This window comes from Homo sapiens, chromosome 1, assembly GCF_000001405.40.
Source record: "Homo sapiens chromosome 1, GRCh38.p14 Primary Assembly".
Classification (NCBI taxonomy): domain Eukaryota; kingdom Metazoa; phylum Chordata; class Mammalia; order Primates; family Hominidae; genus Homo; species Homo sapiens.
This window is the reverse complement of record NC_000001.11, coordinates 81951562-81975276: the sequence shown is the minus strand read 5'-3', so window position 1 is coordinate 81975276 and position 23715 is coordinate 81951562. Positions and strand designations below refer to the sequence as shown.

The 23715-nt window shown below is 34.0% G+C and overlaps 1 protein-coding gene across 64 annotated transcripts in view; it reads right to left on the bottom strand.

Moving 5' to 3' along the window:
* The window catches only part of ADGRL2 (adhesion G protein-coupled receptor L2), a 687801-nt gene that overhangs the window by 18656 nt on the left and 645430 nt on the right, over nucleotides 1-23715 (bottom strand). For 35 of the 64 annotated variants that reach the window (NR_171658.1, XM_047416152.1, NM_001366003.2 and 32 more), the window contains 9 exons: nucleotides 23135-23320; nucleotides 22252-22290; nucleotides 19217-19400; nucleotides 9094-9219; nucleotides 8668-8873; nucleotides 7078-7251; nucleotides 5890-6099; nucleotides 4743-4963; nucleotides 3359-3425 (listed from right to left, as the gene is read on the bottom strand). Coding sequence is in view for 63 of the 64 variants with exons in the window: in XM_047416152.1 (XP_047272108.1) it covers nucleotides 3359-3425; nucleotides 4743-4963; nucleotides 5890-6099; nucleotides 7078-7251; nucleotides 8668-8873; nucleotides 9094-9219; nucleotides 19217-19400; nucleotides 22252-22290; nucleotides 23135-23320 (1413 nt within the window). In the remaining variant the exon portion in view is untranslated. Of the gene's footprint in view, nucleotides 1-3358; nucleotides 3426-4742; nucleotides 4964-5889; nucleotides 6100-7077; nucleotides 7252-8667; nucleotides 8874-9093; nucleotides 9220-18071; nucleotides 19401-22251; nucleotides 22291-23134; nucleotides 23321-23715 lie in introns of those variants that run through there. The other 29 variants (XM_047416118.1, XM_047416159.1, XM_047416140.1 and 26 more) reach the window with 2 other exon arrangements.

Genomic DNA, 23715 nt, shown 5'->3' with positions numbered 1-23715 from the left:
GTAAGTACATGCAGTTACTCAATTATCCACACAGAAGCCACTACTAGTAAGTATAGGCTATTAGGATTGTGGTACATACATATGACAACCCACCAGGCTAAATGTCCATGCTAATAATTAATTCTGGGGATGAAACAACTCATTCAAGAATCAGATTTTAGCTTAGCTCTGGGCGTGTGTGTGTCTGTGTGCAGGTGTGTGTGTACAGGTAAATAGATGGCTATCTTTTAAGATAAGTCTGTTGAGTGAGAACAAATCAAGAAAAAAAAAATCCTTATTCAGCCAAAAAGAGTAAGTCATCAAACTGGGACATTTTTTTTTCTCTCCCACTGACAAAGATCATTCTTTTACCTATCCCCAAACAATAATTTCATAAATTATTATTTATAATAACCCACCAATATAATTTGCTGATAAAATTCAAACTGCTTAATGATATGACACAGCTAAACATCACCCATATTGATGAACATAAAAATACAAAGAAATTTTAAGAAAGAAAAAGGTACCACAGATTATAGGAGTGCACAGTTTGTTTTATGGTCATCAACCTGCTCAATTGAATCACATCCGTCTGAGCTTAGCAGCTTAAAATTCATTCCACAGCTTGCAGTGCTGACATGGATATGATAAGACAGAAGAACAGAAACATCACTCTGAAGTAACCTAGCTGAACTGTGCACGTTCTGACCCTTTTTGTCCTCCCTGGAGCTTTTGCTACCTGGCAAATGCAACTCTAAAGCTATACTTGTATCTCCAGATCTTTGCTGTTAGCCAAGCAGAAACCTATTTCTCCCTGGGACTAGCAGCCAGAGAGGTGTTCTCTGAAGAAGACTTCTAAATGAGTGTGTGAGCTGAACTCTTACTGAACTGAATTAATTATTAACGATGCAGATGGAGCTGTCCAAATGATAAGAACAGCTCCTGACGTGTCATGATCCAAGCTTTCATTAAACCATTTCAGGCATACTAATGGTTTCCCACTGCTCATTACTTACCAGCACTTTTCTCATAGATATAATAACTCTAGTGCCTGTAGGCAAGACATCCTATAGAAATGCAGAAGTAGGAAGTTTTATCTTCCTTAGCATATTATTTTTCTTCATAGATTATTATTTAGAATGTACACCTATTTAATACAACTAAGTGAAACAGTTTCAATTCAGAAAAACTGAAAATGCAAAGCTATACTTTCCTAGGAATAGCAATAGGTAATTGTTGTTATGGGAATATTCCTTAAAAGGATAGTATACAATACAATCTATATTATTAAGATTTGTGCCTGAATTGAGTTTACATGTCTTATCATCACCAGAGGGAAGATATATATATATATTTTTTCCCCACACACACTGTATCATCATATCATATCTCAATTTAAGTTAGATATTCTTTTGCAAGACGCTGTTTTGTACTCCTATACCACTCTTAATTTCTCTCTGTTGGGAAAATTAGAAAGCAAAGCAATCGCAGGAGAATTCCAACAAGATCTGTACTGGGATTGCTACCTACTGGGGTTTGTGTTTGAGAATGCTGTTGAAAAAGCCATTCACATCTCAACCTGAAGGATTTGGTAGAGGACAATAATGACAAGACTTATAAAGTAATAGTGTGCTCTACTATAAATGAACAACATAATAAAATGTCCTTTACCCTTTTTTCTTACTAAAAGCTGAGTATGTTGAAAATTAACTTCTTTTGCTAATTGAAATGTTTTTTAATGATCTAAAGTCAGTACTTATCTTCACAGATATCAAATAAATAAAACTACAGTATAAAAGGAGTAAACACATGATAGCCTCATTGGCCAAATATCCCTAAAGCAGTCTTTACATTTTTGCAACTTATGTGTTTGACGAAGGTCTTAGAGGAAAATGGAAGGTTATGTCTTCAAGGATCATGCCTCTTCATGTCAGCCATTGAACTCTAGACAGGCTTAGGCTGTGTTAACATATGAACACCAAGAACAAAAACTTGGGCAATCATCAGATTTAATAATTCTGATGAGAAATCAGTTTTCCCAGGAATACTTGAGAATGTTTTACTGGTTTAATTCATACAGGCATTCATCTCAAATTTTCATTTCACTTTGTATAAGTAATTGTGTAAAATAATTAATTTTAATGACAAACAAATATACACTTGAAGTGGTTTTAAGTTTCCTTCAAGTACTAGAAGTTTTTCTCAATTTCATGAAACACTGCTTAACCATGAAAAGATCCAAACGAGCTCATTTGTGTTACGTTTTTGAAAAAAAAGTAAGAAAAACTTCTTAAAATAGGAAGTATTTATGTTTCCTTTTCAGAGTTAATAACACCATTTCTCACCATAGTGCTACAACTGAGCAAGTTTTTTTTTTTTTTTTAAGACAGGGTCTCGCTCTGTTGCCCAGGCTGGGGTGCAGTGGTGCAATCATAGCTCACCGCAGCCTTGTGCTCCTGGGCACAAGAGATCCTTCTGCCTCTGCCTCCTGAGTATCTGGGACTACAGGAATGTGCCTCAACACCGAACTAATTTAAAAATATTATTGTAGAGGGGAGGTCTTGCTATGAAGTCCAGGCTAGCCTCTAACTCCTTGCCTCAAGTGATCCTCCTGCCTCAGCCTCCCAAAATACTGGGATTATAGGTGTGAGCCACCATGTCCAGGCCTGAGTGAAAGTTTTAAATACCAAAGTCTAGATACTGTAGCTACACTCCTTTATTTCAACTATATCTCAAATGTGACTAAGGGTAATATAAGATGTTTAAAAATATCTTAATGTCGTTATCCTTGACTTGCATCAAATTCATTTAAAAATAGCATTTCTTAAACTAGTATATTCATTTGGTATCTTCAGTCTTATAGAAGTAATTTTATTTCTAATAAATTTTAAGTTGATTTAATAGTCATTCGTTAATGCAAGCTTAAACAACTTTTTATATACTAAAAAGCATTGAGGATGTGGATATTCATTTAAAATTCACTTAAAATTAATTCATTAGAATTACATAGTAATTCATTAAATTACTATGTGGAAACTAAGATAATAAAAATTAAGGTAATATTCTTTCACTTTTCTGACATATTCATTTAATTTATAACATGGCCTATATGTAAGCATGTTTTTTAGATTATGATGTGATATGTCAGCTTATTAAATTAGAAATGAGAAAAAGTACTTTTTAGAGTAAAGATTTTCAGAAATATTAATTAGCAAGTTTATAAAAAATATTTAAAATATACTATTATCCTGTGAGACAGGCATATTTATAAATCTTTGTATAGATAGATAAACAAACAATAAAACAAATTATCCTTGTTTGAATAGCACTGCTAAAGCAGCAAGCTAAAAAGCAAGGGAAAACAGAACCTGCTTACCAGAATAATGAAGGTAACAGGTCCAATGAAGCTCCATATAAAGTAGTTATCAACATGAAGCCAGCAACTATTATGAAAAGAGAAGAATATGCATTAGTAGTTTCTATGGAACCTCAACATCACAAGGAAAATAGGATTTTAAAAACCTAACAGACAAAACTATCTTTACATTTGCCTTTGAAGATTCATTTATCATGTGCAAGACCTCTAATAATTCTGAGTTGGCTTTGACTTAACAAAGGAAAATAATTTATTTACTTCAAACTGCTGGTTTTATATTTGATAAAAGCATACAAAATCGTGCTTGTATGGGGAAGACAATAAACACCACTCCACCACTGAATCCTTAAGACTTCTGACTTCCCTAAGACAGACTTGAAACTCAATATTGCAAATTGTCTCATCATTTTAAAGTCCTACATATAATTTTCAAAATTTGCCTTTCAGATCTGTCTGAGCTGAAGTGCTTAACCCTATGGAACCTAACAGAACCCCCAAAAACTGTTCAGATGTTATGTTTGTTGCAAAACAGTGTAGCAGAAATATAATACCTCCACTAGGAATGGATAAATGCTAGAAAAGGATATCAAAGCACAGAACTCACACAGTATTAGAGTAAATGATGCATAAACTTATTAAGACAGATTTTACTTAGTGGTTCATTTTTCATATAACATGGAATCCCCACTGAATTTCTTTTGTCTTTCATCATCTGTACAGTCAAAAAGCTTTCTTTAGTCCAAAGAATCTTTATATAACTAATTTTATCAAAGGAAAAAAATAAACAGAATTGGAAGGCAAATTCATGCCTCTAGCAAATAAAATCCTTAGAAACATGACTATGTCTACCTTCTGTCACTTTCTGTAAATATCTATACTTTTATGAACGAAAGACAGTGACTTATTTTAATCCTTTCAAACTGCCTGATACAATATTATCAAAGTAAAACATATGGGATGGAATGTGCTACTGTCACAATTCAGAATGAGAGTTAGCTATAGAGGGTCAGCTGCACAAAGAGAGCTAATGAAGCATTAGCTTAACACTGAGTAGTTAAACCTGTCAGAAGCTTTAAGTTCAGAAGAATTTTTACTTAATATCTTTCTAAGGCCAAAAAGTTATTTACTTTTTCAATTTGTTTCAGGTCAATCTTTTGTGTTAAAAAGAAAGTCCATAATTTGGAATCTGCCTTGCCAGAGTACAAATCCTCTGAACCCAGAAAATTGCAAAAGACTTGATTGTAATTTGTGCACGGTATGCCCATTCTCTTACCAATAAAGCTTTCAGATGCTATTTTAATCTGTCAGGGACCCTCACTGACAGCTAACAGGCTTTAAAAAATTATTCACTTGAAAAACACTCAGGTCGCTTGCAATTACTTACGCTTTTTCTGTTCCATAGCTCTTATAGTCAATAGCAGCTGAAACTCCAACCACTGTGGCAGGAAACAAGTAACCAGCAACATAGTAATATTTTTTCCTTGAATATTCACTTTCAAAAACTTCAACTAACATTAGGTAGAGCTGCACACCTTCTAGGCACATCCAAGCAAAAGCTGCCAAAAAGAAAAAGTGTAGAAGTCCTGCAAATATTGGGCATGCAATCTACGGGGGAAAAGAACAAAAAACACAAAAGAAAACTCATGAATAAAAATAGCCCACTCCAAAATTATAAAATACTCACTAAGAGAAATCACTATTATTTCAAAAATACATTATTCAGAGTAAACTAATGCTTCCTGAAAATATTTTTTTCGTAACTGGAAACAAGCTAAAAACCCTGACAAATCTGAAGATTATCATGTTCACAGAGTATAATGCCAAGTGTGCTAGGTTTCATCAAGGAAGAACATTACTATAACATTTTTTAGTGAAATTAAATATCAAATAAGAAAACTTCATAATTTGTGAATTATCTGTTATGAAATCTAAATATTCCACTTGTAGATGATTTGCTTCACAAGTCTTTAAAAGTGTTGTTTGCAAATATATTATTTCTATTTTTTTCTATAATGGAATTTTAAAATTTTGCTTTAATGACAAAATCCTAGCTCTAATTACCCAGTTCCTGTCATATCTGGAACATTCTTAAAATTATCCAAGGGCAGATGAATATAGGGTGAAGCATTAACTAACTAAGTTCTGTTTCTGATATTAAGACCTCATGATGATGAATCAATTGCTATGAATACAAAGAAAGGATCACTGGTCAGAATGACTATGTAAACAAAATAAGAATTTTTAAAATAGGATCTTTATATTACTGTATCCTCAGCATTCTTCTATTAAAATTATGTCTTAATAAAAACACAGAAAAATTCGACTGTATCTTAATATATAAAATGAATTAGTTCATAATATTACTTAATAATTGGACAGTCTTTTAATTTACTACAAATTGTCTTTCAATATTGCCGTATCAATTCTATCAAGTTACAAGGTCAAACATTAATATCAGTATCATATGTCACCTCACACCTACTAAAATAATTTTCAGAGATCTAAGGTCAATGAACTCAACTGGTGCTTACCGCATATTTTGTCTTATCAATGCCTATTAGGAAAATAAATTCAGCAATGAAAAGGTTGATACAAAGGTTCTTGTGAATAGTATTTCGGTCACTCTGTAGGCCACGGAAAAAGCAGAAGGTGAAGATGCAGATAGCCAGGCAAACAAGGGAAATGACAATTCCCACCCAGGTGATGACTGTAAGAAGTAATTCATGAACGCCATCTTTATACTGAAAATAAAAAGATATGAGGAACATTAGTATTCCTGCATTACATCAACTAGAAGAAAGACAGCTTTCACATGTACAGCTCATCTTTTACTACTGAACTCTTTGAAGAATACTATTCATATGTGTTCAAAAAAGGCTCAATACCAAAAATAAATTTTGATCACATAATAGCGTTCAATATTATTGTCTTTTATACTTAAAAAATGATCTATGAGAGAGGAAGATTTTACCTAGAAAACAATAAAGGAGCCTAATGATTTCAAAGTATGACTGAATTAACTACATAAACACATGGAAACTATTTACATGACAGAATAAAGAATACTTATTCATGATTAAAAACAACTGACATTTTAATGATTTTTCCAAGCTAACACATAAGCCAAGTTTTAAGTTTTTATTTTCTCCTTGGGGTTTTGTATGCTTACATATTGAGAGTTGACACATACTACGGATCTGAGACGGAAATGCTACACTTCTTAAAATATTTCTGTCTTCTGGCTGTCATTGTCTTAATCACAAGAAAGAATACTGAGACATATTCCAGAAGCCATTTTGACTTTTCAAAAGATGCAGCTTTGCACAATGTGCAAAGTGGTTAGGAAACTTAAAGGGAAAGTTGTAAAATTAGATTCGAACATTCAAGATGGGAAGGGCATGTTAAACTCGAGAGCCTTCTGTCTCTTTTGTATGACCTATTGCTGCTCATTATTTAAATCTTCTGTTGTCTCTACCAAGCACCTGCCCCAAGGAGGAAAACTTACAAGTCTATAAAGTCATAGCATATGATTTTGAGAAGTAACAATAACAGTGCCAAGACTTCTTAAAATTTATGGACAGTGTAGAAACAATTAGAAATCAACATTACTTTGTTTGCTTTTTAGTTACGGTAAGCACCCAAAGAATGGGACTATTATACAAGCTGTTTTGAATCTCTGAGGTTTTTCTCTGCTACTAATTAGAAGTGCAAATACTTACTGCAATTTCCCTGTGGGCCATGAGAATTGCAAAATTGGTTAGGTGGCTGCATGCACACGTTGTTCGAGTTTTATTAGTGTCAACCAGCTTGCAGCCCTGGGTAGACCAATATCCCATCATAGTTCTCTCTGAGTAGTTCCAGAAGGAGCAGTTTGCATTGAAATAATTGTCAGGCTGGGAAATAAAATGACAAGATAAAATTAGGATTTTATATTCTAAGATGGCAACAGCAATTGTTTAATATGTATAAAAGGTAATTTAGATTAAACTTTGCATGTTTCAGACTATAAAGTTTTTCATCAGCAAAATTGTGGACTATGTTATACAAGGCAGATATCTAGCTTAAAAGGGGCTTTATAGTCCGAAAGACTCTAAAGTGTACTTTAAATTACCAAGACCCATTTTACACAATTACAATTTCCATTTTATGATTTTACAATTGATGGTACATTAGAATCTTTTTTCCTTTCTGATAAAATTAGAGCCATAAATTTGTTCTGAGAAAATTCTATACGGACCAAATGTTTTAAAAATCCATGTTCTATTTTGGGCCCATTTTTGGTTAGTTCTAAGAGATACACTAGCAGCAATGTAAATCATATTGTTAGTACCTACAAGCTCTTAAGAGTCAATCAAATAGGCCGGGCGCGGTGGCTCACGCCTGTAATCCCAGCACTTTGGGAGGCTGAGGCGGGCGGATCACAAGGTCAGAAGATCGAGACCATCCTGGCTAACACAGTGAAACCCCGTCTCTACTAAAAATACAAAAAATTAGCCAGGCGTGGTGGAGGACGCCTGTAGTCCCAGCTACTCGGGAGGCTGAGGCAGGAGAATGGCGTGAACCCGGGAGGTGGAGCTGGCAGTGAGCCGAGATCGCGCCACCGCACTCTAGACTGGGCAACAGAGCGAGACTCTGTCTCAAAAAAAAAAAAAAAAGAGTCAATCAACTGAAGCAGATATGAGTACCATAACCACACAAATTTATTTTTCTTTGCCTATTTGGAGATCCACTTTTTTATCTGTGGGCATTTATTCACTCTACTTATCACAACAGCCAAACATTCTGTAGACAATCTTCCAATACAGTGTAGTTACGTAAGTATCAACTTGCATTTTAAGGCACAGCAGAGGAATCACATCTCCTCAACTGTTTTTTTAAACACAATACTTGGTAACAGCTGTGTCAAACGTGATCAGTAAACTAATGAAAAAAATTTTGCCACACAGAAAGGCAGAGTCCTAAGAGTTAATACTCAGCTATCCTGCTGCTAAGTAAGGTAAGGGTTAATTTTCATTTGAAAACAAATTAGAGTCATTTACATTTTCCTGTTGATTACTGAATTAGCTTTCATTAAGAATACACTTAAGTTCTAATAATCACTGAACCAAGCTCATTTAATTTTATGTTCACAGACTTAAATAAACTTGTGTCTCTGACCTAGTCCAACATTTAAAATTCAAATGGAAAGGTCTTGTCTTTCCTCCCTCCCATCTCCCCAGTTCTCTCCCCATCCCCAGCACCTCAGTTTTGCTTTCCTTTCTTTCTGCTTTTATAACCTTCCATTACTTCATTAGCATACATTAACTTACATCAATGTGTGGCAGGGTAAAAAGCACAGGATCAGTCAGGTATACTCGGCTGGACTCTTTATTGATTGAAACTGAAATGACGTGAGAGTTCACTGCAATGGTGCTATTACGACCAATAAAATCAGCACCCAGTTTAATGGTTGCATTTTCTGTACTAAGGAACTGTCCCAGGCTCCGGTAAATGATGAACACCAACTTTGCAAGCCCTAGGAAGGTAAAAATAGTCACATGATGTACAAAAAACATGCTTGTTAATAAACTAAGATAAAATAAGAATAAAATGATGAAGTCCTAAGGCACTGTTTTATATCTGCTTTTAAATGGTAAGCCGTTTTTTTGTTATATAAGGACTCAAATACATTTTAGAATTAATAGGTTTTTGAACAACAACAAAAACTGTCAATTTTTAAAAGACTTCCACCTTACCATTCCTGCTGTTCTGTTTGACGGTATTTGCGGACAGTTGGATTGAGCTGCCTGCTCCTTTGATGCCCAGAGGAAATTTAAAGTCTTGGATCTGTCCTTCTGTACTGAGTACGGCAACTTCCAGGACTGGATGAGGGAAAAGATAAAGGAGGTGGGGAAAAAAGGATTCTTTAAGAGTTAACTAAGGAGGCAAATGATAACTGTATGGAAACTACTGTTTTCTTTTTGCCTACTTAAAAAATTTTACTGTTAGGTTTCAACAAAAATCATGGACTAAAAACCAAATTACTCCAAATGATTTAAGTCTTAAATATTCACTTCTCAAAAAAATTTTGTATTGTCATTCTAACACCTTCTTCATATTTTTATCTCTTTTGTCATGAACTAATACCAATCTGTTAGCCTGTAAGTATGAACAGTGTATGAATTAATAGTACATAACTTTCAAGGTTTTATATTTAAATCATGAAGCTAAACAAAAATATTTCAAACTGATATTTTTTGGCTCTTTATATTAAGTAACTTTTCAATGACCATTACTTGGCAGTGGTAAAACTAATATGAAGTACAAATTTGAATGACTTTATGGCATCTATACAACTCTTTCTATCTATGATCCACTTTAATATGAAAAATTACACAGGTCAAGTTTGCAGTAATACTTTTTTTTTCTAATTTCTAAAAATAGTGAGCCCAGCCAAGAATATATTTATGATGAAAATGTCATTATGTTAAAACTTCCCATTAATTCTCACTAGTAACCATCAGTCTTTACATATTCAAATTGGGCAAAATAGAACCTGCAGGCCAAGCCTGGCATGCCATTTGTTTTTGTAAATAAAGTTTTATTGGAACACAATCATGCTTATTCATTTGTATATTGCCTATGGCTTCTTCAGTGCTACAATGCCAGTTAAATATTTGCGAGAGAGACCACCATGGCTTGCAAAGCCTAAAATATATACTATCTGGACCTTTACAGCAGAAGTGTGACAACCACTGCAATCTAAACCAAATTTCAAAAATTCAAACCAAGTATCGAAATTGACAAACACTTAAGGAAAACACGTCAATACAAAACACTGAGAACATCTACCTGATCAACATGCCAATGCTAACTTCATTTCAAAAATATACTTAATAGTAACCACTAACAATATAAATGTTTACTGTCTGCTGGGAATCACAATACAGATTGTAATTATTTTACATTAACATTCATTTAGATTTTAAAAGGAATGGAAAAGTACATTGCCTTTACAGGAGTTAACTATCTTATATTAATAATTACAATATTAACATTTTATTGATGAAATCTAAGGAATTATATGAAAAATTCATTAATTTCTGATATTGAAATTTTAAAAATAATCTGTATTCTTAAAAAAGTTCAAAAAATACAGTCCACACTTTTTTTCTGAATGTCACTCTCTTTAATGTCTCTAATGTCTGTATCATCTATCAGCTATTCACCTACAATCCCCTTTTTATTTTTACAAAAATCATCTCATACCATTGTACAGTAATTCTTGGATACTAATTTTTTTAATCTTCTGCAACTCTGTTTTGTAAAATACATCTATATTTAGGTGTAAATATAATAACATTCATACATTTTTATAAGCAATTAAACCACATGTCAAACCCTGAAATACAAATTTATAATGAGCATCATGTAACTGCTAAAATTCTATCAGCTGCAGAAACTGGTTGATACACTTATTTTACTGATACTTGTTTGGAAAGATTAAGCTGCTGGGTAGATGGATGAACTGTTCTCAGACTCTGTGTGGGCGGCAGGGAGGAAAGAGGGAAAGAAGTTTAATTAAAGTAACTGATTCTTCCTCACATTGAAAGAAGCTTTCATATCTTAAAACAAGACAGGATGAAAGAAGAATATCCTCTGAGTTTTCATGAATCATCCCAAACATAGATATACATGTACAAAGAGTTAATTGCATTAAACAAATATTTACTTATCAAACTTTAATTTCATTAAACAGAAATTTACTTATTAGAGTTTAAAAAATAATGTTCACAGTAAAGAAAAACTTTAAATTATTAAAAGTAGTAAGATCATGACTACAGCTCTCAGTAGATATTTCAAGCTACTTAAGATATTTCCATAAGAAAATGCAATAATGAACTTTGTACCAACAAATAGATAAATTTATATCAATAAATTTTTAAAAGACAATAGAAACTTTCCTAGAAAAATAAAACTGACTAAAAGAAATTAAAAACCCTAATAGTTTATGACCATTAAAAAACTCAACTGATAAATACATACTGAATTTTAAATAAGATTTCTATTTTCTGTTTCAGAAAACAGAAAAAGATATATCCCTAACTCATTTCACAAAAAAATATAGGATACTTTCAGTCATTAAAATGATGCAAAAAATCTTTAATAAAATATACACACATTTTATAATATCCTGGACAAATTAAATTTTTAGTAAATTAAGTTAAAAAAGCATATAGAAATTAATACATTAGAAAATGTATTCATATAATTCATCAAATAGAGAAATTTAAAAAGTATTCACAGAAACAAATTTCAACATCCACTTAATGTAAAAAAAAATCTTTACAAAAAATGTGAATTAAAGAAAAATTCTTTGACCAGATAGAAGTTTTCTTATCAGATAAAGGCTAAACCTTTATGTATCCAAAACATATATAGCAAACAATAGTGAAAAACTCTAGAAGCATTCCATTTAAAGTCAAAATGATCTCTGTCACAGGTTTTATTTAGCATTGTACTAGAAGACCTAGCTTAATGCAGTAATTCAAGAAAAGCAAATAAAAGGTATAAAGGAAAAAACAAGTATTATTCACAGTAAACACAATTAACTACATAGTAATAACGAGGGACGTTAACGATAAACTATCAGAAATACTAAGAATTTAGCAAGGCTGCTATGAGCAACATCAATCGTGTTTCTATACACCACACAACAAACAATTAAAATATGTAATTTTAAAAGTGATATTATTTATAATAAAAAAAAGAAGTATAAGTTGTCTAGGAACAAATCTGATTTTTAAAAAGTGCAAGACACTAAAAATAAGAAAAATATATAACTTTATAAGAAGACCTAAGAAAAAAATGAAGAATTACATAATGCTGTTATTTGGGAGAATGCAACAGTTCACCCTGGCACCTCTTTCAAAATCAATCTACAAATTCAGTCCAATTCTAATAAAAATTCCAACAAGATTTTTGTGTCTGGAACTGGATCCATTGATTTAAAAATTTATATAGAAGAGACATGCCAAAAAGCAGCCAAAGCAGTTCCTTAAGGAGCAAGGCTGAAAGACTCAACAGATATTAACATTACTGAAAAAACCAAAGCAGCAAATAATAGACATGGCTAACATGTAAGATATCATTACAAATCATTAGGGGGAGAAATGGATTACGCACTAAACGTAAACAAGGAACTGGTTATTCATATGGGGAAAAATCAAATCAGCTGCCTCTCTCATATGATATCATAATTAAAAATAAATTTCAGGTAGATTCAAGACATAACTGTAAAAGGCAGAGGTTTATCATTTACAAGGGAAGTATAAGATCCTTATAAACTCAATGTAGAGAAAATTTTCCTAAGTAGAAAGCCAAAAGGAAAATATTTCTTAAACAAGATACCAAGAGTACCAACCCTAAAAAGAATAAACTGATATATCTGACTCATTATGTAAAACAACAGATTCCTTTTAAAAAGATAAAAAGAGAAAGCCCAGACAGAATAAGTATCTGTAAACTATATAATCTTTACAGGATTAGTGTCCAGTATACATAGAAGTATAAAGAAAAAATCAAACAGGAGAAAGTTGTAAACAATAAATTCATAGGAGAGAAAACTAACATAGGTAATAAATCTGTTAAAAAAATCAACATGAAGCAATCACGGAAATTGTAAATTAAAACAATAACGTAACCAATTCAAACTCATTAGATTGACAACAGTTATGTCAATAATAAAGTGTCTGCAAAACTAGTAATGGTATTACTGGTGAAAAATTAAATTGGTAAAAGAAGGTAGAGAGCAATTTGGCAGTATTTAGTAAAGCTGAAGGTGGGTATGCTCTACCACTCAAAAATTCTATTTCTAGGGAGTATGTGTGTGTAGGCACACACAGGTATGTGCGCATGTATGTCTAGAAAGGCACACATTGGAGCAAGAAGGCATACAGAAACTTTCATTACAGTTTTCCTTCTGTCAGGAAAAAAGCAGAAGCCACTAAAATGTCTATCAGCAGTTAATTCTGGTACATTCTTAGAAACAGATCAAATGAACTACAGATACACATATCAGCATATGTAAATATAAAAAATAAAATGCTAAGGGTAAATTATACAATTATGGCCATGTGCAGTGGCTCATGCCTGTAATCCCAGCACTTTGGGAGGCTGAGGCAGGCGGATCACCTGAGGTCAGGAGTTCGAGACTTGCCTGGCCAAAATGGTGAAACCCCCTCTCTACTAAAAATACAAAAAAATTAGCTGGGCGTAGTGATGCATGCCTGTAGTCTCAGCTACTCAGGAGGCTGAGGCAGGTGAATCTCTTGAACCCAGGAGGTGAAGGTTGCAGTGAGCCGAGATCATGCCATTGCACTCTAGCCTGGACGACAAGAGCAAAACTCCGTCTCAAAAAAAAAAAAAAAGAAAGAAAATTATACAATTACATTTACAGTGTGAAATTAATGTTAAAAACCTGAAAAGTATTCACTGTACATACTTACAAAGCAAAATTTTTTAAGCTTATTAATGCTAAGTAATAAAGATGACAGCTACCTCATTCATGATATGAATCAGGAAGGAGGCAATCCTGGGAACTTCGACATTATCTATGATTTTCTTTTTCCAAAAAAATCTGAAGCAAATATGGTAAAATACCAATATGTGGCTCAGCTGAGTAAGTGGTACACAGATGTTATGCTATCCTCTACTTTCTGTATGCTTGAAATAATATATGCCTTATTCAATAGATTTTCTGAACATGAATACACTTGGTTCACTGGAGAGCCATTCAGAGCCTCACTCAGCCAATACTGTAAACAGAATTTTAATATATTTATCTTACTATTTTGCAAATTCCTCAGCAAGTAGTGGCTGTAATGAGAGGAAAGAGGAAGAACTATGACCTCTGCCAGGAGACTTGCACCTTTATGGGAAGGAGCTGGCATCAGCCTAGGTCCCAGAATAAAAACAACACGGAGCAGAACTGAAGATGACAGGAAGCAGAGCTGAAGTCCAGCCTCAACAATTATGCAGCAGGAAGGAGTAGTAAACCTTTGTTGTTGTAAGCAGCTGTGACTTTGGGGTTTTTGTTACCACAGTCTAAGTCTAAAGTGATGATAAAAATCATGCTGGCCACTCAGCTCATTAAAACAATAAATAAGGCCAGGGGCGGTGGCTCACACCTTTAATCCCAGCACTTTGGGAGGCTAAGGTAGGTGGATCACCTGATCAGGAATTCAAGACCAGCCTGGCCATCATAGTGAAACTCTGTCTCTACTAAAAATACAAAAATTAGCAGGGCATCATGGCAGGCACCTATAATCCCAGCTACTCGGGAGGCCGAGGTAGGAGAATCACTTGAACCCAGGAAGCGAAGGTTGCAGTGAGCCGAGATCATGCCACTGCACTCCAGCCTGGGCAACAGAGGAAGATTCTGGCTCAAAAAAAGAAAAAAGAAAAAAAAAAGACAATAAATAAAAGGGAATTTTACAATGGATGGATCAGGCTGATAACATCTAAACCATGGAACCGATCTGAAAATCACAAGGAAATAAAACCAAAGATTATGTGCTTGTTGATAAGATGCAACAGAAAGTTCTTGTTAAATTAAAGAAACAGAAAGTTAAACCTAGCATGATCATGCCTCTAAATCTAACCATCAGCATACCAGGCAGAGTTAAATGATGCACTGTGGATGAAATAAGCCAAACCAAGAATGTAACAAAGTCTACAAGACAAATTACCCACCTGACTTCCTCAAGAAAAACAAAAAATGTTTAAAAAATATTTTTTTTAGTATGCAAAGAGAAATAACTTTTAATGAAAAAATACTTGGCCAGGAATGGTGGTTCATGCCTGTAATCCCAGCGCTTTGGGAGGCCAAGGTGGGTGGATCACCTTAGGTCAGGAGTGTGAGACCAGCCTGACCAACATGGTGAAATCCCGTCTTAACTAAAAATACAAAATTAGCCAGGCATGGTGGTGAGCACATGTAATCCCAGTTACTCGGGAGGCTGAAGCAGGAGAATCACTTGAACCCAGGAGGCGGAGGCTGCAATGAGCCAAGATCGCGCCATTGCACTCCAGCCTGGGCAACAAGAGTGGAACTCCATCTCAAAAAAAAAAACAAAACTCAACTGACATATCTATCAGATTTATTACTTGGACTTGTATCCTGGTTTCAACAAAGTATTAATAAATTTATGAAAATGTGAACACACTTTGTTATCTTTTGAAACGTTTTGTTATTTTTTTAAAGTGTGATAATGGTATTGTGGTTTTTTAAAGAGTATGGGATATATCCATATAAAGTTTCTTACAGTAATCATGATAGGATTTTACAATTTGCTTTAAAATATTACAAGAGTGAGAGGAGTTAAGTGGAACAGGATTAGCCAGATGCTGCTAAAGCTCAGTAAGGTGAATTTTTAAAATCAAAATTAAAAACTTCTGCTCTTCCCAAGATATAAAGAAAATAAAGTCACATACTGGAGGAAAAATACTCAGAATGCATATTTCTGACAAAAAGACTTACAACAATAATATAAAAAGAATCTTTAGAATTCATTTAATGAGACAAACAACCCAATTAAAAATAGGCAAAAGATATGAACAAACACTTCATAAAAGTATATTTGAATGGACAATAAACACATGAAAGGAGGTTATCAGCAAAATGTTACTTAGCAATCACAGAAATGCAAGATAAATCCACAATGAGATGCCTCCAAGAACCACTAAAAATAAAATGACTGCCAATCCTAAATATTGGTGAGGATGTGGAGCAACTGGAACTCTCATATGCTACAGTTCAAGTTTAATATGGTACAACCACTTGGAAAAATGGCAGCCAAAAATGGCAGCCAAAAAGTGGAAAAAAATTCAATATGTCTAAGTGAGTAGATATACAAATTGTGGTATGTCTTCACAATGGATAATACTCAGCAATAAAAAGGATTAAATTATGGACACTCCCATGTATATGGATAAATTTCAAAAAATATTCCTCTGCATAAAAGCAGCAAGATCAAAAGGAGTACTACATACTATATGATTCCATTCAACTGAAGATCTAGAAAAAGCAAAACTAATCTACATGGACGAAAAGCACATCAGTGGTTTCTGATGTTTTTAGGGCTAGGGTCAGAGGAGAATGACTGCAAAGGAGCATGAAGGGCCCATCTGAGGACACAGAAATATCACCATGCTGATGATCATAAGAGTGTACAACTGCCATACTCCATCAAACTATACACTTAAAACAGGTGCTCTTATTGCATATTTTAAATTATACCTCCAAGTTTTTAAATGTCACAATTAGATATAATTATAATAGATAAAATTATATCATTTTATGGAGTCATGTATTATTAAGGGTAAATCATGCTATGAAGTTAAACCAAGAATTTAAGAAGAAATCACTAAGGAGGAAAATCAAATTGTTTTAATAACCTAAGACATTATAGCCATGTCCTCAAGGGAGTGGGAACATAGAGAAATAATAGGCTATTTTAGTCCTCATGTCTGAAAAGAGAACAAGACAAGTCCTAGGAAAAAGGTGAACGTTTCCCTCACAGTAAATCAGGGCCCTTCCCCCCACCCCCAAAATTGTTTATACCTTGGAAATAAAAAAGACACAACTATTATTACAATATGTAAAATGACCTTTTTTTTTTGAGACAAAGTCTTGCTCTTGTCGCCCAGGCTGGAGTGCAATGGCGTGATCACGGCTCACTGCAAGCTCTGCCTCCCAGGTTCGAGGGATTCTCCTGCCTCAGCCTCTTGAGTAGCTGGGATTACAGGCACCCCCCACCACGCCTGGCTAATTTTTTGTACATTTAGTAGAGACTGGGTTTGGCTATGTTGGGCAGGCTGGGAACTCCTGACCTCAGGTGATCCATCCACCTCGGCCTCCCATTTTTTTTTGTATTTTTTAGTAGAGACGAGTTTTCACCATGTTGGCCAGGATAGTCCTGAACTCCTGACCTCATCCGCCTGCCTCGGCCTCCCAAAGTGCTGTGATTGCAGGCATGAGCCACCATGCCCGGCCGTAAAATGACTTTCATATTGATAATTCTTGGGTAATCAGCATTTAGACTAGTAAATACCAAGCATTATTTTAGAGATGCCAGTCTCTCCATAGTGTTTTTTAATTAAAAATGAAAAAAGATCAACATTAAAAATAATCCTTTAGTTTCATTTAATTAAATTTTATTTATTTTTTTGAGATGGGGTCTCACTCTATCATCCAGGGTGGAGTGCAGTGGCATGATCTCAGCTCACTGCAACCTCTCCCTCCCTGGGCTCAGGTGATCCTCCCGCCTCAGCCTCCCCAGTAGCTGGGACTACAGGCATGCGCCACCATGTCCAGCTATTTTTTTTTCTTGGCGTATTTTTTGTAAAGATTGGGTTTCACCATGTTGCCCAGGCTGGCCTCGAACTCCAGAGCTCAAGCAATGTGCCTGCCTCGGCCTCCCAAAGTGCTGGGATTATAGGCATGAGCCACTGTGCCCAGCGAAAAATAATCCTTTAGAACTCTGAAAAACATAGGTACTAGAAAAAATGTATTCCTGGACATTTAATTGTTCAGAATATATCTCAAACTGGGATAAAAATATCTTGGATCTATAATTACAGTGTGTTCTATATATGTAAGGCTGATGGGAGCATAGATGTGAACCCAGCCCATGAAATTTTCTTGCACAATTGAAGAGGCATAAGAAGGGAATTTTAGTGGTTTTTTTTTTTTAATAATTTTCAGAATATTTAGAAAACAAATTGAGGTCATAATATGCCACTTCGGTAATTACTGATTTTTCATTCCCAAACCTCAAAGTAAATAAAAACAAATTATTTTTAAAATATTTCATTTCTTTTTAAAAATTCACTTATATAAAATAAATTTAAGATTATGAATTCAAATATAGGTGCTAATTTGATTTATGTCCATTTCTTCCATATACCCCTTTGATCTGCATTTTTTATATAAAGTCTCATGACTTACGCAGGCACAATAAGGCATAATTAGGCATTAAGATATGGCATTCCAGATAGTAAGTCTTCATTCAGTATCTGCTGCCCTAATGAAGTTAGCACTGCTTCTGGTGGAAGAGTAGTCTGTGTCCCTTTTGAGTTCTTCTACATGTATGCTTGGGAAGCTTTTTACTTCACTAACTAAGGTATACTGTTAACTTCATCTGAATTCAACCTCACTGAATAATTAACAATTCTAAATTGTTCAAACCTAAATTAATAAAATTTTACTGTATTTCTTTCAAATATTTTTCACAAGTGAATTCCTACCTCTCAGTGGTAGCATTTGAATTCTAAATTATGCTTCAACACTATCTGTAGCTATTCTGCAATCTATGAAGCACGGATGTTCTGCATTGTGGGAGATGTAATTCACTGACCACATTTTCACCTGAAGGCAGTTATGTTTAATACAAACATCTGACTCAAGTTCTGTGTGCTAAAATATCTGACTGAGAATGCATTCCATAAAATAATTTAAATTCATTAGGAACATATTATATAAAACGATTAAGCATTTGCCACAGTTTCATAGCAAGTACTTTCATTACTTAAAAAATCTACATTCTGGTATTTAGGCACTCTTACACTTTTTTGTTAATGATTTTTCAACTGGAAAAACACACACACATAAAACCAACTTGTAAAACACAGGATAGAGTTTGGCTTTTGCATGAATTTTAGTAAGTGTGGTCAATAATTTCTCTTGGTAACAGACAAAAATAATTTGACAAAAAAAGAAGTACAGCACTGGGAAATAACAGATACAGAATGGAAACATCATCCTCTTACATATGAATATCCTAAATCAAAATTAAACTTGACAGTAGATTCACTTACCAATATTTTCTGTGGGCATTGAGACCCTTGTTGGTTCTAAAAGATTGTCAGCTAGGACAAAAGCTCCTTCTTCCAATGTATCGAGTAACATTGTTGCAGTATGTGCTTGTTCAGAAGAATTCATATGTTTCCATGATTCCAAAGCTTCGGGTCTCAGAAGGTTGTCCACTGTGTCAACAATTGCCTGTATCCATTAGAAAACTATCATTAGTTTTGACCGCTTTTAGAACCAAAGTGATTTTCAGTAGCTGATGAGTGACAATTGTAATATTTATCTGTCATGATGATTTACTCTTACTTCAAGATGGAAGAACACCTAGACAACATATATCTGGTCCATTTTAAAATATAACTGGACCATTTTAAAACAGGACTGACTGAAGATTAACAGACTGCTATTTGATTACAAACAGTAAGTGTAGAAGGTGGATTGTTTCTATTTATTTAATCACACCTCAATTGTTGATAGTTGACAACCACCTGTGTCAGCTCTTAATCTGAGACATTACTCTTACAGGTAGAGTCAAAACTACTAAAGTCATCCTATTTATGATCTCAAAACTTGAATATTCTAAACCAAAAATACTGATGTCTTTGGAATAGATTAATATGTATGCTTGAAAATTAAACTATATTATTTTTTGAAATCTCAACTAAAATAGTAACCAAAATTATTCCTTATAGACACTGTCTACTTATAATCATTTGAAATAAAAAAAAAACAAGGTGGCATTAAAGTTCATAATTTATCTGTGAACATTTTCACTCTTCCAATTCTCTGTCCAGCTAAAAAACACTTGAGCATATACTTTAATTCATCAACAATGATCTGCTTTTAAAGGGATAAAGAAAGGAATAAAAATTAAAGCCTCTACTGATAAGTTAGAGAAAACAGGAAAGTAGAATCAAGTCTTCATAAACACCCAAGTTGTAAATATGCACATATGTAGGCTTAATTTATTGCTACACAAAATAACATTAAATAAAATATAACTCAGTTAATCAACTGAAGGCAGGATCTTATACTCCTACACTCTGTAGCTACGCACTGACTATGCTTTGGAAAGGTGAAATCACTAAGTTTATTTACTCTATTCCATTCACCCAGTCATAATGTGTCATTATGCCCATAAACACATAGTTCTGATCTATTGGTAATTACTGAAGAGAAAGAACACACACTGTACAAAAAGAACAACAATAAAAATTGCTAGCGTGAGGTACTATATGAACAGGGGGGAAAGTTGTTTGAAGCTACTGTCAGAGTAAGATTAATTAGCTTAATCCATCTTAATATCCTCGTTCTGTCTGCCGTGTGAGACACCACGACCTTCCTGGCAGGTGGAAGATACTTCCAAGTGGCGTTAAAGGCTTTTTTTCTCCCTCTAATGGGAGACAGAATAGTCGAAATGCTCACACTGATACTGCGGCAGCCATTAACTAGAGTGGAACAGAAATTGGTCTGCAGAGGCCAGATTCATTAGTCACCAAGAAATACAGACTGGAGCCTCTCTCTAATCTAAGTTACAAATGAATCCTCTGTCACAAAGTGGGAACTTGCTTCATTTGCATAGTGTAAGTCAGCTTCTGATTTGTAATTTAAAGAGTTTTATTAGTCTTATCTGAACAGAGAAGCTCATTTGAGACATACTGAAAATGACACTGGTCAGAAATTAAGGTCATGCTGAAATTTACTCCATATACACATAACTTGCTAATGGCATGCTTTTATTAATTTGAAACACTCCTTATTTATTACTATTTGTACTCGTCTAGTGGGATCAAAATGATCATTAGCCTAGTCATATTCCTGAAGTAGTCTCTTTCTGCCAAAGGAAAAAAAAAAAGCTATTCTTTTCCAACTGCGATGTATGTCCTGGGCAACATACCAATTATTACATTTCATACATTAACTAATACCTTAAAGGTGAACTGAACATTGAAGTTTAAAAAAATTCTATAGATTTCAGCAGTTATTTCTCTGCCCCTATTAAACAGGCTAAAAGGGGACTTTCAGACCATTATTACCTAAAAACAGACTTTCCTACTACCTTTTCTTGTAAAGTTCTCAAGTTCAACAATGTCCAATACTAACTAGTGAGACGTCATTTTTTCCTAGACCTTGCCAACCAAAATTAGTGAAGTCATGCCTTTTTAATACTCTCTAGTCTAAGAAACTACAAAAGTTCTTTTGTTTTCTTGTCACAATATATGGATTCGTTCTTCAAGGTTTGATTTACCATGGTTATGGTCCCCTGAAAAGTAAGGTTAGAAAGTAATATCTCCCCAAAAGGAACTCCTAAAATTCAGAGAACAAAACAAAATGCAATTTGGTATTATTATTTTGATCTATCACACAGAACCACTATGGCAGCCTCAGCATGTTTCCTATTACTTGGATATACCAGGGAGAAAACCCGGCTGGAGTGGACAGGGATTCTGAGCTCAACAGTGGCTTTCTGTTCCTATTAGCTTGATAAAAAACAGTATGTAACATATACAGATATCACAGTCAAATTATATTCATATTTCATTTTTAGTAACCCATCCCCATATCAACCTGATTCTAGAAATGACTCCTAAAAATTTCAGAATAAAGCCTATTTTATTTAAGAGTATACCACAAAGATAAGAAAGCAGTGACTTTTTCATGCACATATATTATGACTATACAGTCTTTGATATGATAAACTGCCGAGAATATATCATAGCTGTTTTACTCAAGTTGTTTTTTAATCCACAGAGATGACAACAGGAAACAAAGAGACTACATAATTACTTTCCAATTAAGAGGATATTTCATTAAAATTCGTGTACTTTTGGATGAATGGAAAAACAGCAGAAATCATTAAAAGTAAATTATTTGCTTATTCTGAGAGTAATATACCTGTGAAAAGCCAACATTTGTACAGCTGATATGGGGCACATTATATAATTATCAAAGACTGAAATACATTGGATCATGCAGCAAGATGATAAAGCGTGGCAGGTAGCTGAAGAAGGGAGAAAGCAGGGTGACAGCACAGGAGAGATACCTTAAGGTAAGCCCTGCATGTCTTCTCTCGTTTTTGGAGCTTTTAAGTAAAAGAAAAGAAAAATCAGAGGTTAGATTTTTATCTGCTGAAAATGAGGAAAGAAGAAATCCTCAAAAATTAAGCTGGTGTTCCAGAGCTCGAAGTTTATATGCAGTAGTCCTCTGGAGTCTGAGTCTGCACTGACTACCAAAACTGCTTATTTACAGTTTTTTATTCTATTTTATGAAGTATACTAATCTAAAATATGTTGACAAAAAGAGACAAAATATATACTGCAGTAAAAAAAAAAGTCAATTTTTTAACCAGGTAGAACCACATTAGGCACAGATTTTGGGTTCCTATGAACCTAATATAAACACTTATAGTGTGATGAAAAGTAGCAATCCAACTTTTGTCATAATAGGAAAAATTAATGGCACTGATAACAATATATTCCTGGAGACGGCAACTTGTCCTTCTTCCAAAAGCTGCCATTGAAAGAAATATGTCAGTGGCTAATATTCCTATATGTGTCAAAATTTTGCTGCAACTATAAGAGTTCCATGTATTAGCATATAAAGTATATCAACTGTATAACATATAATCTCTCCAAGTGCAGATAATGCATTATAAACTTACAGTATTGACCACAATCAGATAGATAAAGTTTGCCACCAACTAAGATCTCTCTCAGGTAATTAACATCATTTACACTCTTTTGGGAGGGCAGGGCACATTGCTCTTTTCTCAACTGTAATTCTTCCTTGGAAAAATGAACCAAATTAGAAATTTTGCTTCTAAGTATATGTCCCGGGGCCAAAGATTTGGCTCTCAACTGCTATAAGACAAGAAAGAGCTGCCATACCAAGTGTCTAATTCAAAATAACAGAAGAGTTCTCTCTACCTTGTTATAACTCCGTCCAGCTGAATCTTTTTCACTAGGTTTCAGTTCCTGCAGCTGTGCATCAAGGATGTCCACCAACTGCTCCATCAATCTCACTGAAGAACTTACATCCCCAGCAAACACTGGCCCTTTGGTATGTTTAGCCAGTTCATTGGCAAGACTAGCAGCATTTTCTCCGCTTCTGATCTGAAAAAACAATTTGTATTATCTCATTTAAATTTTTTTTTCTGTTTACAGCTTCTAGTTCTCCTTGAGTATCTTTATTGTGGTGAAAAAAATTTGCGAATGTTAAATTCTCCAACTAATTGAGACTGATGACTTTCCCTTCGTCTTAGAAGTTTCAAGGCTCTTAGATTATCAACACACACACACACACAATTCTGAACCAGGCATTTAAAAGAAATAAAAAGGAAAAAAAATCCTTTCTCAAAAATTTCAGCCAGTTCTCTCATTTCACTGCTACCATTTAAAATTGTTATTTTAAAGTCTTATTTATTCCAATGATCCAGAATTTAAGTCAGTATGTAATCAGCATGATACTGAGGGTTATTATCTGATGTTTATTCGTCATAAAGGTAGAT